The sequence below is a fragment of the Homo sapiens genome, chromosome 13 (assembly GCF_000001405.40).
Source record: "Homo sapiens chromosome 13, GRCh38.p14 Primary Assembly".
Classification (NCBI taxonomy): Eukaryota; Metazoa; Chordata; class Mammalia; order Primates; family Hominidae; genus Homo; species Homo sapiens.
This window is the reverse complement of record NC_000013.11, coordinates 111,373,787-111,392,168: the sequence shown is the minus strand read 5'-3', so window position 1 is coordinate 111,392,168 and position 18,382 is coordinate 111,373,787. Positions and strand designations below refer to the sequence as shown.

The 18,382-nt window shown below is 44.4% G+C and overlaps 1 annotated feature.

Moving 5' to 3' along the window:
• Window positions 2,445–2,945: an enhancer, noted in NCBI's record as "H3K4me1 hESC enhancer chr13:112041571-112042071 (GRCh37/hg19 assembly coordinates)". NCBI's record gives its function as "activates a minimal SCP1, AML or CMV promoter by ChIP-STARR-seq in naive H9 embryonic stem cells {active_cell/tissue: H9 hESC(naive)}" and the evidence as "EXISTENCE:reporter gene assay evidence [ECO:0000049][PMID:30033119]".

The window sequence follows — 18,382 nt, the reverse complement described above, 5'->3', positions numbered from 1 at the left end:
GAAAGCGGTTTCACCATGTTGGCCAGGCTGGTCTCGAACTCCTGACCTCAGGTGATCCACCTGCCTCGGCCTCCCAAAGTGCTGGGATTACAGGCGTGAGCCACTGCGCCTGGCCTCAGCAAACCCTTTTTGTTGACTGGTATATAGAGCTTTGGTGTTTGTCCTCAAAGGATCAATGGACTGAGGCCACATGGTAGGATATCAATATATAAGCAATTATTAGAAGAAGAGAAATAGGATAGTGGCCCTTTATCCATGGCTTCACTTTCCACAGTTTCCCAAGGTCTGAAAATATTAAATGGAAAATTCCAGAAATAAACAATTCATAAGTTTTCAATTGTGCACCATTCCGAGCAGTATGATAAAATCTCAGCTGCCCACTCCACCCTGCCCCAGACGTGAACCCTCTCTTTGTCCAGCTGCCGACTCCCCTTAAGCCCCTGCTGGTCACCTAGGGGCCCTCTCAGTTATCAGCTCAACAGTCACAGGGGTGCAGTGCTCGTGTTCAAGGAACTCTCGTTTGACTTCATCATGGCCCCAAAGCACAAGGGCAGTGAGGCTGGCGATGTGGATACACCTAAGAGAAACCTTAAGGTGCTCCTTTAAGTGAAAGCAAAAGTTCTCGGCTTCAGAAAGAAATAGTACGCTGAGGTTGCTAAGATCTCCAGTGTGAATGAATCTTCTTTTTGTAAAATTGAGACTATACTGTTATAATTGTTCAATTTTACTAGTTGTTGTCAATCTCTTACTGTGCCTGATTTATAAATTAAACTTTATCCCAGGTGTGGATGGATAGGAAAAACATAGTGTACATGGGGCTCAGTACTATCTGTGGTTTCGGGCATCCTCTGGGGGTCTTGGAACGTACCCCCTGAGGATAGAGGGATGACTGTATTGAATTAATAGAAAACCTTTTGGCCAGTCACACCGACTGTGTGCATATGTGTCACTTAAGGAGACTAGGTGATGGCAAGGTGAGAAACAAAAATCTTGGTGGCTTAAAATAAAGCTCTTTCTCTCGTATTCTATGCCCACAGCCGACCGGCCCGTCCTGCTGACCCCAGCCCCAGGTGAATGGAGCAGCTAGAGCCTGGATGGTGCTGGTCACTGCAGCAGGAAGCCACTTTCTCTGATGGCCGCCTCCCAGGCACCAGTGCCCCAGCCTGGAAACTGCCACATTCCACCACAACATGGTCTTGAAACACAAGTTCATTTCAGAGCGAGCGCGCAAGATGCTGGGATACAATCAGCATCACAGGAGCACTGCGTCCTGGAGGACAGTGTGCGGTGACAGAGGCACCCATCTCTCAGCACAGAGCAGGCCTGTGCAACACAGCCATTGCAGATACAGCTCCAGGCTCAGCGGCTGCCCTCCCTGTCCCACCCCGTTTCAGATGACCCAACCCTCACACCTCCTCAGGCAGAGCCAATTCGCTGTCATATCTTGCATTTCTTCTCCACTTAGCCTGTGTCAAGCAGCCTGCCCTTGTGCTAGGTCCCTGCCAATGCTACGTGTGACATGTGAGCTGCACCAAGCCCCCCTTTTCCCAAGCCATGGCCTCGCCACCTGACTGCCCAGTACAGTGAATTTTGAACTGACTACACTCGCATCTTTCTTACCCACCACATGGCCGGAACTTTCCATGTGGCCCACTCCTGAGAGGTCCAGGGAGCTCAGTGTCTAGCCTGAAAAGAGGGGCGTGCTAGATGTTGAGAATGGCCCCAACGCCAGCCCCATCTGCAGCACAGACTCCTGGGGCAAGCCTCCCAGCCCCTCGCACTGGTCTCCTGCCCACATCAGATGGAGGAGACGCAACCCCACCTGAAGGGACCAGCCAGAAACTGCTCCAAAGTCAAAGTGAGGATCCACACGGCACCAACGGGTGATTGTCTCTGGGGGTGCAGGGCTCAGAAGGGGGGTGTCAAGACATCCTCGGCCCAGGTGGACGGTGGGTTTGTGGGTGTTCATCACATGACTGAAACGATTAACAAGCAGGTGACTGAGCATGGGCCATGTGCACCCTCATGTCGACAGTGCCTAAAGCACAGAGCACGATCTCTTCAGTTCTGACAGAGAAAGGTAAGGGTAGGAGCGGCAGGGGAGCAGAAGGGCTACGGGGCAGGTACCCCCAGACTTTCTCTCTGCAGTCCTCCTGCCTCTTCCAGGGGCCACTCCCGTAGATAAACTTTTCTGTCTTAGTTTCTACACATTCGCCTGTTCCCTGCTACCTGGAGTGTCACCCGCAGGCCTCTGTGCTCCACGCACTTCCTCAGCACTGGCTCCCAGAGCCTTTGCACCCAGCAACTTCAAGCTCCAGCCAGAGTCTCTCAGCCACAGCCTTGGCCTCCACCCGGGAATGGTCTCCAGTCTGCAGCGAGCCAGGCACAGCTTCCTGACGGGCCTAGACTGAGAAATGTGTGCCATCTGTTCATGTTCGTGTGTGTGTGCATGTGAGTACACAGTTGCATGTGTATGTTGTGTGTGCATGTGTGCATATTGTGCAGGCAAGTACACACATGTACATGTGCATGGGACTGTCTTCATGTGCATGCATGTACATGTGTGTGTTGTGTGTACGTGTGTGTTGTGTATACACGTGTGTGCATGTGTGATCATGTCCCCAAACACCTGGGCTCACACACGGCTGCCTGCCTCTCTCCTTCTACTTCCCTGCTGCCAAGTAGGACAGCCAGCTCCATTCTCTCTCATGAGGCTGTCGCCCTATCAAGCAGCAGCTCTGACTTCAGTGCTGCCTGCATTTCCTCCTCGCTGGTGCCCGCCCACCACCTCCTGTGCGGACGGGCGCTGGGTGCTGATCTCCCTGCATGAGGGCTTCCTGCACCATCTCCTTCTGGTCTGGATGGCGCCGCTCCAGGTCTTGGACCATAACTCCAGCCCAGGGCACGGGAGCTGGGTGGGAGACACCCCCACCAGAGGACACGGCCCCACGTGTGGTTACTTTGGCGTTGCTTGGTTCTCTCATTCGGAAAAACTGCTCTTGACGGCAGAGTCAAGCAGAAAGGGCAGGACTCACTGGGGACCAGTGAACACCTGATGGATGCTCTGCTCCCTGCCCTCTGGGCACCTACCACCCCCTGCGTCCTTCCCCTGGCATCCTGCTGCTCCCAGGGCCAGGCAAGGGGCAGAGCCTGGACCTCTACAGTGAATGCCAGCCCTTCACAGCTACTCACACTGCTCCCCCACACATGCCCACTCACACATGCACACACTCAGGCACAGACACGCGGACTTTTACACACACATTTAATGTGCACTTACGTGCACACACACGTGCACACTATTGCATGCAGTGACACATATATGCCCACTCACACATACATTTACACACTCAAATACAAACCCACATACACTCTCTCACACACCCGTTCTCACATACTGAATAGTAAAAATAAAAGTTTCATGACGGAAAGGCTGGTCTTCCGAAGGAGAGAAAGGACATGGTGCCTCTTAGTCTGGGCTATCAGGACAATGAGGAGAGGGAGGAGGGAAGCGAGGAGGGGCAGCCGTCCTGTGACGTCTGTTTAAGCAGGATCCAGCCCCTAAGCGAGCGCTATCGTGGCTGAAAGAGGAGTGAGGAGTGGTACTTTAGAGTCAGTGTCCCTTCCATTTCTGCATAAAGAGCGAGGCAGGCCCAGGACTGGACACAGGGCTGGACCGAGGCCCAGCAGAGGGACACGACAGCACCAATCAGGTGGTCACAAGTAGTGACGTGCCCACAGCCTTTCATCCGGCTAGGAAGGAAAACTGAAGGCAGCCACCTAACCTTGGCATCAACATTGTGCCCCATGACTAAGCGAGCAGCTCTTTATCCTACGATCAGTGCAACGTTGTTGAGGCTGTAGGCCAAGGGGGTGAGCAGAGAGATGCTTCCATGAGCGGCTCCACACTGCCGAGAAAGGCCTCCGTGAGCAGCTCTGCACTGCCGAGAGAGGCCTCCAATCACTCACCCTCTGGAGACTGGAGTCAGCCAGGAGGTTATTTCAATAATCCGGTAAGTGATGGAGCCGCTGGGGCAGGTGCCCAGAGCAGAGGTGGAGAAACAGGTGGGCTCAGAGTTGTCTGGGGGTCATCTCCTTCCTGCCCCATTGCAAACCCGGACTAAGGGGAGTCAGATACACACATGGGAGAGCACAGATGAGGACACCTTATCTGCTGTGACACAGGGTCAGGATGCTATGGATGCTGAGTGCCACCTCGCAGTGCTGCCTCATCCAGTTGACCAAAGTCCACTGTTCATGATGAGTGCTTTGTAACAGCCTCTTTATACCATCCTGAAAATAGTTACAGACTCCATGATCTTCCTACATCTGTTATTTCAAGCAATATGTAATATTGCAACTATAATAAGCAAAAGTCATTTCTATTAAGGTAATGTCCTCAATATGCAAACGCACAGGCGTTCTAAGGACATGCTGATGTCGTGGTGGATCTGTATGAGTCACCTGAGCAGGGAGCGTGCACACACAGCTGCCAAGCTGAGCCACAGGCACTGAGGCTCTGCCACGACGCACAGCCCCAGCAACTTCCAAACAGCACAAAGTGCAGCGTCTCCTCAGTTTCCATCGCAGCTGCATCTTAGAAAACAAGAGTGTGCATTGAAGCAGGGCAACTGCACTGCGTGTGCACGTGTGCATCTGTGGATGGAAAACTGGGTGAGGGCTCAGCCCAGCCGATCCCAGCAGTTTCTCACCTGCGTGGATGCCCAGCAGTATACTAAAGGGCGAGTGGGATGCTGACCAGCTCTGTGCTCTGGCACTGTCCCACGTATGAGCAGAGAGAGGTGTGGCATCCCTAAACCCTTGCTAAGTGTATCTCTGCCTACTCCCAATCACAGGACACTGGGAAATGCCCCTTCCTGTCAGAGCTACTCACGTGGCCCTAGCAGGCATGTCATCGACATGCGAGGACAGAGACGCCCCAAGAATCAAGGTGCTTTCGCAGGGGTACACAGCTGCTCAGTGGCTGCTCTGAGGCCAGAACCAAGATCTACCTCCCCTCCCAGGACCGGCCGCACCACCATCACTGTGGACACCCTGGGAGGGAGGGGCTCCTTCGCTGCAGGAGAAAATTGTTAAGTGCTCAGATATGTCGCCCTTGACCACGGTCCTGGAAATGCCAAGATTCAGGTGGATTGCACACAACAGATTTGAGTCTCAAGATATTTTTAAAATATATCATCTCATTGTTGCAAAAATAAAACACATTTGTTGCAAAAGCAATGAGAAAATGCAAATATACAGAAAAGAACAATTGTCCAGAGACAAGTATTGTCAACATTTTGATGTGTTTTCTTTTAATGAGACACATACATACACACATTGGGATGGTGGAATTTTATGTGTCAATTTGGCTAAGCCCTGATGCCAACATGTTTGGTCAAACATCAGTCTAGATGTTGTTCTGAAGGTAATTTTAGGTGAAATTAATCTTTGACCACTGGGCTTCAAGTGAAACAGGTGCCTCTTCCTAAGGCGGGCGGGCCTCATCCAGTCAGTTGAAGGCCTAAGGAGAAAGACACTGACTTCCCTGAGGAAGTAGGAATTTGCCTCCAGACCATCTTCAGGCTCAGGACTATCGCATTCATTTTTCCCTGGGTTTCCAGCCTGCCGGCCCACCATGCAAATTTCAGACCTGCCAGCTTCCACAATCATGTAAGCAAATTCCTTAAAATCAATCAATCTCTCTCTCTACACGCACACACACACACCCTATTGGCTCTGTTTCTCTGGAGAACCCTAATACATACACTATATATATATATATATATATATATACACGCACACATATAAATATATATATACACACTATATATTACACACTATATATATACACTATATATATACACACTATATACACACTATATATGTACACTATATATATACACACTATATATGTACACTATATATATACACACTATATATGTACACTATATATATACACTATATATATACACTATATATATACATACACACCATATATACACTCTATATATCCACTATATATAGTGTATGTATATATACACATACATATGTGTATATATACATATGTATGTACATATATATACATATACATACACACACATTTGTAATAAAAATAGAATCTTACTGAATCTTACTGAAGCATGCTTTATTCATTTGAGAATATGAAGATAGTAATTTGCTCATAAAATATTCTTCTCCCTGTTCCTTCATTTCCAATAGCTACATAGAATTCCATGGTGTGGATAAGCTAGGGTTATTTTAGCCAAGGATTTGCTGAATTGTCAGATGAACATGCTTTCTTATTCTCCTATGTTTCCTACAAACTTCCTTTCAAAGGTGACAAACAGAAAATGATCCAGGGGCCTTGGAGGCCCCCAGGCCCAGTGTGACTCTGCTTCTACTGAAGTTGCCCTCCTCCCTCTGTTGAGGAGCTAGAAGGGTCCCAGCCCCTGGCCTTCCCTGGCTGGGGTTTGCAGGATGTAGAGGAGTCTGAGGAGACCAGGGCCCCAGCTCCCCTTCATGGAGAGCCTGGGGCCTGCTCCCGTACGGGGCTGTGGGTTAGTGGGTGTGTGCACGCAACCACGGTCTACACCTGGGCTGCTCCCTAACTGATAATGTAATTATCAGGAGAGTCATATTGCTGCACACACAGCATTTTCAACCATTTATCACAATGTTGATCTTTATTTTAAATATAAATCAGGCAATCATTTATGTCTTTTATGTTCTTTGTATTTATTCAAGAATATTTAACTGTAGACAAAAGGTGACTTATTCATTATTCATCCTGAACAAGGCAAGTATGGCGATTTGAAAAGGCTGACATTTGAGCTTTTTGCCAACACTAGCAAAATTATATCCTTCCCATTGTAAATCAATGAAGTAGAATCATTGTGCACAAAGGAATTAAATTGCCTTGTCACTTTAATAAGGCCACCTTATATACAACCTTCAACCATCGCCATTGTGCAGAGACACAGCAGCTCCTCACCCCGCTCTGCTCAGCCCTCAGTGGCTTTCCAATTAAATCAGCATCCTCCGAATCTTTCACGCCACTCTTCCTCTTTCTTGAGAGAGAGTGTCAGAATGTCATACGCATAACTTGCTATCAGCGGCATGCACACATCGGAGGGAATTAGCAACCCCAGCCTCAGCCTCAGCTGTGCTTCTGGCATCTTTTAAACTTGTGCATCAGGTCTTCCTCTGCCAGTACCCTTCCCCCAACATCCTGCCACACCACTTCCTCGCCCTGCTTCACGGGTATGTACATACACACACACACAGATACACACACACACATGCAGATACACATATATGCACACAAACATGCACAGATACACAAAGATACACACATGCACACTCACATGCACACACACATGCTCACACATGTAGATACATGCAGGTATACACACATGCACAGACACACATACGCACATGCTGATACGTGCAGATATACACACATGCAAGATGCAGAGATGCACACAGACACATGCTCACACATGCAGATACACAGATACACATGCACAGACACACACATGCTCACACATGCAGATACAGAGATACACATGCACACACATGCACACATGCAGATACACACATGTACACACATATGCACGCTTATACATATGCTCACACATGCAGATACACATGCACACATGCATGCTCACATAAGCAGATACCTACACATGCAGATACACACACATGCAGAAGCACACACATGCACAAATAAACTCACACCTTGAGAGATAATACTATTAATTTTGTTTTCATTTAGAAATGTTCAAATTTTCCAGGCAGGAATCATTTTCGTAACAACAAATGAGAAACTCTCAGATGTCAACATCTCAGGCAGACAGTTGAAAGGAAGAAGGTGTGCTGGGAAGCGAGGCAAGGTGTGGCTAGACAGCAGCAGAAAGCGCCTCCTGCTTAGAGCAGGGGAAGCATCCTCCATCTCTACTCCCTACACATTAATCGCACTAGAGAGGAAAGACGCAAACTGCAAGGACAAATGGAAAGGAGAGGGGGCTGGCAGCCGGCGGGAGGTATGGACGCACCCCTGGATGATGAGGACAGACAGGTACCAGCCACTGACGCAGACAGAGCTCCAGGAAATGGGTGCCTCCAGATGAGAGGAGCCCTGAGAAGCCAGCAGAGACACCCAGGGCCACGGAGCAGCTCAGGAACCAGGGGCACCTGTGTCTCTTGAGGCAAGACGTGAGGGGTGTGGAGGACACGGAGTCGTCGAATTCCAATGAGACACCATTTAGAGCCCCAAGTCCCTTCTCCCAGCCCCACAGCCAGGAAATGGAGCCCCTCTGCTCTAGCAGAAGCGGGCAGGTCAGTCTCTGAGTGGGAGGCATCCATAATCGTGGCATTAAGCAAAGCGGAACAGCCACAGGTGAAGAAGATGTGGTGCCACCTGGACATAGACTGAGGCCCGTATCCCTGGGAGCCCAGCGTCTGGGCCACCTGCTGCCTGGCCTGTGCCACCATCAGCAGTAGGAGGGCCGTCCGATGCCCACAAGGAAAGACAAGAGAGGTTAGGGGTCTTCTGACAAAATAGTGAAGTCCCTACACAATCACCCGCCAGCCAGCAAACCTCACCCACAGAAACCAAGCATCAGACATGGACTCAATATCAGAAATCCCAGGCATTTGGTAAAAGTTCCTCCTATAACAAACCGAGAAGGAAAGGCTGAAAATCGAGAATGAACTCAGAGCGAGTACGTGTCATCAAGGTGACCGGGAAGACTTTTCTGAAAGGGATAACTAACAATACCAAAGAGATGAGAGGTTGATTCTATGAAACGGGGAGAGGATTCCATAAAAGAAATATCACTCAGGAAACAAAAAAGACAACATGAGAAAAATACTTTTTAACTTAATTGGGGAATAGAGATGGAGAAAACAACCCAGATAATAGAAAACAAAACAAAGAAAAGGAAGGCAGAGATGGAAAGAAACAATTTAAGGATTAGTCTAGGAATTTTATTATCTATTTTCAATAGAAATGTCATGCAAAACAAAAGAGCTGAGAACCAGCTGGTGAGGTGGCCTCATCCCAGTGCAGTGGCCCAAGTCCCCTCCAGCCCACGGCCTCCCCGTCTCCAGCCCAAGGGACCTAGTGCATGAGCAGCAGCTTCCACACACAAGAGTCTCCTATGGGGGCAGTGGGAGGACCCAGAGGAGTTTTCTCCAAGAAGGGGAATTTCACTTTGTGACCAGACACAAAAGGACCTGCCCTGGTAACCCAGTAGGCAAGGAAAGAGCTGGATTCATCCCCAGGGGTGCGTGGCCCTGAGCCCAAACTCTGTCTCCCATCACAGCCCTGGAACATCCTCCATCATCTCTGCAGGGCTCCCACAACCACCACAGCCCTGAAACAGCCCCCACCATCTCCATAACCCCACCCTGTCTCTATCATCACAGCCTGAAACAACCCCATCATCTCCACAGACCCCACCCCCCGCCATCACAACCCTGAAACAGGCCCCACCATCTCCACAGACCCCACCTTTCTCCATCACAGCCCTGAAACAGCCCCTCAGCATCTCCACAACCCCACCCCACCTCCATCACCACAGCCCTGGAACAGGCCCCACCATCTCCACAACCCGACCCCCACCCATCACCACAGCCCTGGAATATCTTCCATCATCTCCACAACCCCATCCCCCCATTGCCACACCCCTGGAACATCCTCCATCATCTCTGCAGACCCCACCCCCACAACCACCACAGCCCTGGAACAGGCCCCAACATCTCTATAGAGCCAAGTCCTCAGTCACTGCAGCCCTGAAACAGCCCCCCAACCATCTCTACAGACCACACCCCCCACTCCATCAGCACAGCCCTGGAACAACCCTCTACCATCTCTACAGACCCCACCCCCAAGTCACCACAGCCCTGGAACAGCCACTCCCTCCACCATCTCTCTAGTGCCCATCCCCCCATCACCACAGCCCTAAAACAACCCCCCATCATCTCTATAGACCCCACCCCCAAGCCACCATGGCCCTGGAACAGCCCCCTCTACCATCTCTACAGAGCAGAGCCCAGCCCCGAATCACCACAGCCCTGGAACAGCCCCACCATCCCCATAGAGCCCACACCCCCATCACCACAGCCCTGGAACAGGCCCCCACCGTCTCTGCAACCCCACCCCACCCCCAGTCACCACAGCCCTGGAATAGCCCCCACCATCTCTATAGAGCCAAGTCCTCAGTCACCACAGGCCTGGAACAGCCCCCCACCATCCCTATAGACCCCACCCCCCAGTCAGCACAGCCCTGGAACAGCCACTCCCTCCACCATCTCTGCAGACCCCACCCCTGAGTCACCACAGCCCTGGAACAGCCACTCCCTCCACCATCTCTGCAGACCCCACCCCCAGTCACCACAGCCCTGGAACAGCCACTCCCTCCACCATCTCTGCAGACCCCACCCCGCAGTCACCACAGCCCTGGAACAGCCACTCCTTCCACCATCTCTGCAGAGCTCTCCCTGCCCCAGCTTCTACTGTAGAGTTTGCATCTGCATCAGAACACACATCCTTGACTTCAGAATGACTATCTCACCATCTGAAAGGGGCAGGAGGCCCTGGGAGCTCCCTCACTCACCAGTGCCCTCCCTTATTCCTTCAACTAATAAATGTGCATTGAGTTGACGCCTACTGTGTCCAGAGGTGCAGAGCACAGCCAGACTCCTGGGACCAGCTGCCTCCACACACACCTTCATCTGCATCAGTGCTGCTCTGCTGGTCACTTTACAGGGATTTTACATCTGTAATCATACTCCAGTAAGGAGACACAGCAGAACAGATGAGGAGAAAGTGGAGAAAGTGTCTGCAGACAGTCAGAGACCCTCACAGACTTTCTTCCTAAGGACCCCAGTGCTCTCAGTCATTAAGCAGACATCCCTGGGACTGCTCACCCACCACATCAGTGCATCCAACATAACCTTCCAGTTTGGAAAAACAACCAATGACCCGAAAGACCGTTAAAATCTCTCCACTAATTTCTTTTGCCAAGAGATGCTGGAGGGGAAAAAATAAGATGAATAAAATATGATCAAAAGAATCTACAATCAACTTCCATGGCAACTAAATTCACTTACGTATGTTGTATTAAAGTTCCTTTTTTGAAAAGTTATTTGAATCTTCCAATAAGGGTTATTTATTAAATTCATATCTAAGTGGATAAAAGGAAAGTAATAAATTATTTTAAAAAGCAAAAAACTAAAAATTTCGAGAATCAAAGGATGATATGACTTTCCAGGTTAATAGCTTTAACAAATTGGTTACCCTGACCTATGCAAAAAAAAAAAAAAAAAAACAAGAACAAAACAAAACAAAAAAATGACACCAAGTTCCTCCACTGTGAAGCCTGGGAACAACATGTCTACATTTCTGTCCAACTTGGAGACCGAGAACAAGCAGCAAATAAAGCGCCATGCCAGGAGCCTGAACCAGGGCAGCTTCACAAGGAGCCTTCAGGGAGAGGGGCCAGTGGGAGATGGCCGAGGACAGCCGAGGGCAGCCGTGCCAGGATGCAGACTGACCTGAACAGAAGGTCCCAGTGCATGCCCAGAAATCCAGTGAGCAGAGAAAGGGAAGTGCTGAGAGGGACTGGAGGCTGTGACACCCCAGAAGTGGTGAGCACATCCCATGCCCAGATGGTGGTTTCTAACACCATCCTCTAGTCAGGAAGCTCCTTAGAGAAATGGCTGATTCCAGGGAAGGCAGGGAAATTACAGGATGTATATATATATGGTACCTTTCAGAGCCAGAAAGCAAGGAAGTGCTCAAGCAAACAAGATGAAGCTGTGTCAGAAGGACCCAGAAGCAACCTGAGGGTAGTCATGAGGGCTAAAACTGAAGCAATGTGAGGAACAACAGAATAAATGATGATAGCACTGGATTATTACCCCTAAAATAAAACAAACATGCACGAGTCCATACTGACATAAATGACTGAGTTTATAAATAAATGTGGAAGAAGAGACAAATCTTCCTTATGGAAAAATTCTCATTAATGCATGTAGAAAGAACAAGGGAAATAGAAAATCACCACTAACACACCAGAGGAGTAATTGCTACAATAAAGATGCGTTGATAAGTGCTAAAATTAATGTGCAAAACTTAAAGCAGAATATTTACATGACTTCAAAATATCTCCCCTAAAATGTGATAATTACCATCATGTTTTTAATGTGAGTCCCACAGATCCTCAGATACCCACTTCCAGGACGTGGGGCTTACTTTCCCTCCACCTGAGTGTGGGCTGGACCTACTTACTCACTATGAAGAAGTATGAATAAGATAATGATCAAAGAGTGCAAATGAAAAAACAGTTAATTTAACAATGAGGGAATCTGGCAAACACCACCTTAACTGAGTGATTAAAATAAATATTAGCAGTAATAAGTCATATTGATATCATGTGCATCCAATATGATTTGATGAGAAGGATACATCATCTCTGCAGTATTCTTACCCAGAATCCACAACTTTGGCCTAATCATGAGAAACGTTAAGCAAAGTCAGATTGAGGATGTTCTACAAAATATTAGACCATGATTCTTCAAAAGTGCCAAGGTCATGAAAGGCAAAGGGCAACCAAGAAACTGCCATAGACTGGGGAGGCTAAAGAGACCTAACAAATACTTGTAGTATCCTGGACTGGATCCTAGAACAGAAAAATGGTATTAGTGGAAAAACTGGGGTAAGCCTAACAAAGTCCATAGTTTAGTAGGCAGTCTTGTAGCAAAGTTAACTTCTTAGTTTTGATAAATATTCCATGTTTAAGATGTCATCATTAGAGAAATCTAAGTGAAAGTACATATGAGAACACTTTGTACTGTCTTTTTATCTCTTCTAAAGATCTAAAATTATTTTAAAATCAAAAGTCCTAAAAAGAAAGTGGCATGAAAATGTGTGGGACTGGAGGTAGCAGTCTTAGCAGGCACCATGTTTGGGGAGAGTGAGGCATCACTTGTAGACTTTTGGTGAAGGAAAAGGAGGAAGCAAGTGGTGCAAATTAAAAATCCTACAGGAAAGGCTGGGTATGGTGACTCACGCCTGTAACTACAGCACTCCAGGAGGCCAAGGTGGGCAGATCACCTGAGGTCGGGAGTTTGAGACCAGCCTGGCCCAACATGGCGAGACCCCATTTCTACTAAAAATATGAAAATTAGCCAGGCATGGTGGCATGTGCCTGTGATCCCAGCTACTCAGGAGGCTGAGGCAGGAGAATCACTTGGGCCCGGGAGGCAGAGGTTGCAGTGAGCTGAGATTGTGCCAGTGCACTCTGGCCTGGGCAACAGAGCAAGACTCTGTCTCAAAAAAACAAATCCTGCAAGAAAGAAAAAGGACTCACACCCCACAAAGGCACCATCTGTAAGAGTGTGTTCTTGAACTGAACCAAACTCCTCACTACTGCCCACATAGCATCACTCATTGTTGCTAGTCTAGAAAAATAGAAGACATTTCAAAATGAACAGAAAGTAGAAGGCACTTCAGCTGGTGAAAATTCTCCACCCAAAAGAAAATATGGAGCAGTGGAGAACTGTAACACTCCAAACCAAATTAAATATTATTAAACAATTATAGATTTTAAAAAAAACTTTACATCAAAAATTCAACAGCTAAAAACAAAACATGGCTTTTTAAAAAATACTGAAATATATAAAATGAGAATTTGCTAAATTTAAGAAAAACGGAATAAAAGGAAATAAAATTAAACTATTGAGTGGTCAGGAGAAAAATGTATGCAACTGAATATATAAAAGTAATATTGAGGATACAATATAAAGAAGAGAATTAAAATAAGAAAGATTTTTAAAGGATCAAATAAAACAGTACATAAAGAAGATAGACAAAGAAGATCTAACATGCATATAATTGGAATTCAAAAAACAGTACAACAATGAAAAATAACTTTTATAACTAGATTTCAATAAAATGATAATTCAAGACAATTCAGAATCTGTGGGATAGAACTAAACTACCAATCAGGGGAAATTTTACAGCTTTAAATAATCATACAAATATATTTAAAAACAAAAATAAAGGAATTAAGTTCTCAACTTAAAAGAACTAGAAAAATAACAATAAACCAAAAGAAAGCAGGAGAAAATAAATAAGGATGAAAACAGAAAAATCCCATGACAGAAAATTTTTTTTAAAAAGTAGAACCATTACATAATTCAAAATGCTATTTCTTTCCAAAGAAATGAACAAATGACTCTCCTATACTAGGCCTAATGAAGAAAGTTAAAAAAAAAAAAAAATAACAACCAGGGAGGTTCACTGGGTGTGGTGGCTCATGCCTGTAATCCCAGCACTTTGGGAGGCCAAGGCAGGCAGATCACCAGAGGTCAGGGGTTCAAGACCAGCCTGGACCATATGGTGAAACCCCATCTCTACTAAAAATACAACAATTAGCCAGGTGTGGTGGCACACCCCTCTAATCCCAGCTACTTGGGAGGCTGAGGCACGAGGATCACTTGAACCTTGGAGGCAGAGATTGCAGTGAGCTGAGATCATGCCGTTGCACTCTAGCCTGGGCAACAGAATGAGACTCTGTCTTGAAAAAAATAAAAAAGAAATAACCAGGGGAAAATAGCCATGAAAAAACAACATAAAAAACTCATAAGAACATGTTGTACAACTCTATGCAAATTAAAAATTTAGATAAAATAAATGACTTCTTAAGAAAATATGATTTGCTAAAATTGATCCAAATAAATATAGAAAGCTTAAACAGTCCTACTTCCACAGACAGAATACAGAAAGTTATCGAAGAATTGTCCCATAAAAAAGGACAAGACCTGGATGGTTTCACAGAGGGTCTACTAAGAAAATACAAGATAATCTCAGTATCACATAATTTGTCCCAGAATATAGAAAGAAGAAAACTTCCAAATTTTTTAAAAACAAATATAACATTAATCTCTAAGCCAATAGAGATAGCCCCAGAAAGACAACTATGGCTTAATATTTCTTATAAATACCAATGCCAAAAAATTCTAAATAAAATGATAGCAAAAAGAATAGAAAAACATGCTTAAAAATAGTACATTATGTCCAAGTAAAACTTATTCTAGGAATGTGAGGGTAGATCTATATTAGAAAATCCAAATAATTTGCCCTATTAATAGTAGACATAAGGAAAAAGTGCATAATTTTATTCATACTAAGAAGATACACACACATCAATAGATATATGAATACACATATGTATATAGATATATATGTATGTGTATATAAACATGTGTATATATGAGTGTGTCTATACACATGTATGTATCCACATGTCTTTATGTACACCCACGTGTATATGTACATATAAATGTATGTATGTGTAGATGTATAAAATCAACCTTAAAGTCATCATCTTTCTTAATAGGGAAACAAAGCATTTCCTACTAACGTCAGAAATAAAACAAGGACACACACTATCTGCATTATTATTTAACACTGTATTAGAAATATAATGTGTATAATTAGAGAAGAAAAAACATTGAAAGAATAAACATTTGGAAAATAAACATAATTTATAGATGATGTAATAATACACTTGGAAACCCAAAAGATTTAATAATGAAAATAAAAGAATTCAAAATTAGCAGATTATACAATGAAAATCAATATCATTTACCAAACAAAATCATGTGTGTGCACATAAATAATATACAATGGAAGAGAAACTATTACAACAAATGCAGTGAAAAAGATAAAGTACTTACAAATTAATTTAACAAGAAATATGCAAAACCAATATGAAAACAATTTTAAACCACTTCTAAGAAACATAGAAAAGACTTGAACAAATGACAAAAAAAAATCCCTTGTTCTTGGATAATTCCATCTTATAAAAACATCAGCCCTCCTAGAGATAATACATAAACTTATCAAAATTGAAATAAAATTCCCAACAAGTTTTTATCCTGGACTGAGTCAAATTGAATCTAAAGTTTAAATGAAAAATTAGACATACTAGAAAAGCTAGAAAAACTCTACAAGAAGAACAATGGCAGGGGGATTACCCTCTGAAATTGTAAAGTATTCTAAAAGCCTTACTAGTTAAAACTGTGCTGTTGACAGATGAGCAAACTGACCAATGGTGCAGAGTTAAGGGTCCAGGAACAGATGGAAGTATTTATAGAAATACAGTCTATGATAAAGGTGACATTTCAAATTCTGGAGAACAGATAGACTTAATAAAATATGTTAACTGGATAACCATTTGAAAAAATGTAGAAAGGGATCCATACCTCCTACCACATATCTGAATAAACACCAAATGGATCAGTGTTCTAAATGGAAAAAGTTCTAGAAGAAAACACAAGAGTTTTTTTATATATAATCTGGAGATGAAGGATGTGAAGAAAGCCTTTTAAACTAATAATTCATAAGCAATAAAAGCAACAACTGGATTAATTTGACTATAAATTCTTTTGGCTTCTGAAAAACACCATAAACAAAGTCAAATAACAAGAGATAAAATGATAGAAAATACATACAATATCTCTCAGAGTTAAAGGAATAATCTCCCTAATACATAAAATGCTGTTAAAAGTAGGAAAAAAAGATCAAAAATCTACAGAAAAATGGACAGATCACAAAAATGGTTCACAGAAAACAATATACACAAAGCCCTAATGGTATGAAAAGATGCTCAACTTCACATATAAATACAGATTAAAACTACTCTGGGACTCCATATCACACACATCATGTTGGCAGAAATTCAAAGGCTTGACCACACACCCTGTTGGCAAACCTTCTAGGGAAAGTGTACGCTTTTATAACTCACTGGTGGGAATGTGAAATGATTCAACATCTATGGAGGGGAATCTGGCAATAGCCAAGAAAACCATGCATTTACCCTTTGACCCAGAAATCCCACCTCTAGGAATTAGCCCTGAAAAAGACATTTTCACAAAGATATGTCCAAGGTTATTCATTGCAGCATTATTTGTAACAGCAAAATATAGAACTGCCCAAGTGCTCTTTGAAAAGCGACCAGTTATATACATGATAGTACAGCTGCATGGAGTATCATGCAGCTGTAAAAATGAATACATCTATATATTGATATACAATGATTTCCAGGATATATTTTAAGTTAAAAAGCAAAATACAAAAGATTATATGTAGTATTCTACCTTTTGCATACACAAGGAGGTTAAATGAGAAATATACATATAGTGTCTTATGTTAAAAAACCATTGCTTATGCATAAGCATGCCTAATACATATATACATACACACTCATACAGGAGGATGCACCAGAAACAAAAAAAGTGTTATTATCCTAGGGGCTGGTGAGAGATAAATGAAAGTGTTGTGGATGAGAGTAAGAATTATCTGACTATGCTTTTTTTCATATAGTGTCTTTTGAGCATATAGAAACTTAACATATTCAAAAATGTCAAATATATTGATAAAAGGCATACCCTAAAATTGAAAACAGACAAATGAACTTAATGCCATATCAAACTGATACCACAACCACACAGAAAGGAGAATCAATGCAAGTAAATTTGGACCTAGTTCTCTGGCTGTACACACCTGGTGTGATATACTCTAAAGACAAAAATTATGACAAAGAAATCTTGAATTTTTCTTAACACTCTGTTGGTGGAGGTGTCAGCGTAGTAATTCCGAGATAATTCTGTACATGTCATGGCAGAAAGCCAACAGGTAAATATATTACATCTGGGGAAACCAAGATTCTCACCATAATAGAAGTGAAATATCAATGTGGAATAAGGAGGAGCTGTTGTGTTTGGCTCGGTTTGGAGAAGTTAGTAAGAATATAAAACTTCTGCTCTGTTCATTCCTAGGACCAGGAGCAATGACACCCCAGAAGTAATGAACACACCAGTACCCAGGGTTTTGTTCACAAATACCACTCTCCACTGAAAGTAACCAAGACTACTTAGAAAATCAGCTCTTCCAGGTCTTAAGCAGGGAAAGGCCAAAGTGAGCCTGGACCAGGTTTTGTGTTGGGAAGCAGGGAAGCACTCGAGGACTAACAGGGCACAACAGAGGTCAGAGCCTGACTGCAGAGGCTCTCACTAGCCACACGTGAAACAACTCCATCATCAAAAAGAACAATGAGGGCCGTGGATTATAATACACCAGATTAAAAGAATATGTGAGTCTATAATTGTTTAAAAAAACAGGGAACGGGGGAGAGGGACAGTTATTCATTACAGGAAAAGGCCAGTTAATAAATGCGGGAGGAAGGATAGAATTAGAACACCATTCTGCATCTATAATTAAGCAAAATCACCAGGTAAAAAGTTATTGGAGAACAGGATATTCACACAATCACAGTCACATTGGCAGCCACCTTAACCAAATGATCAA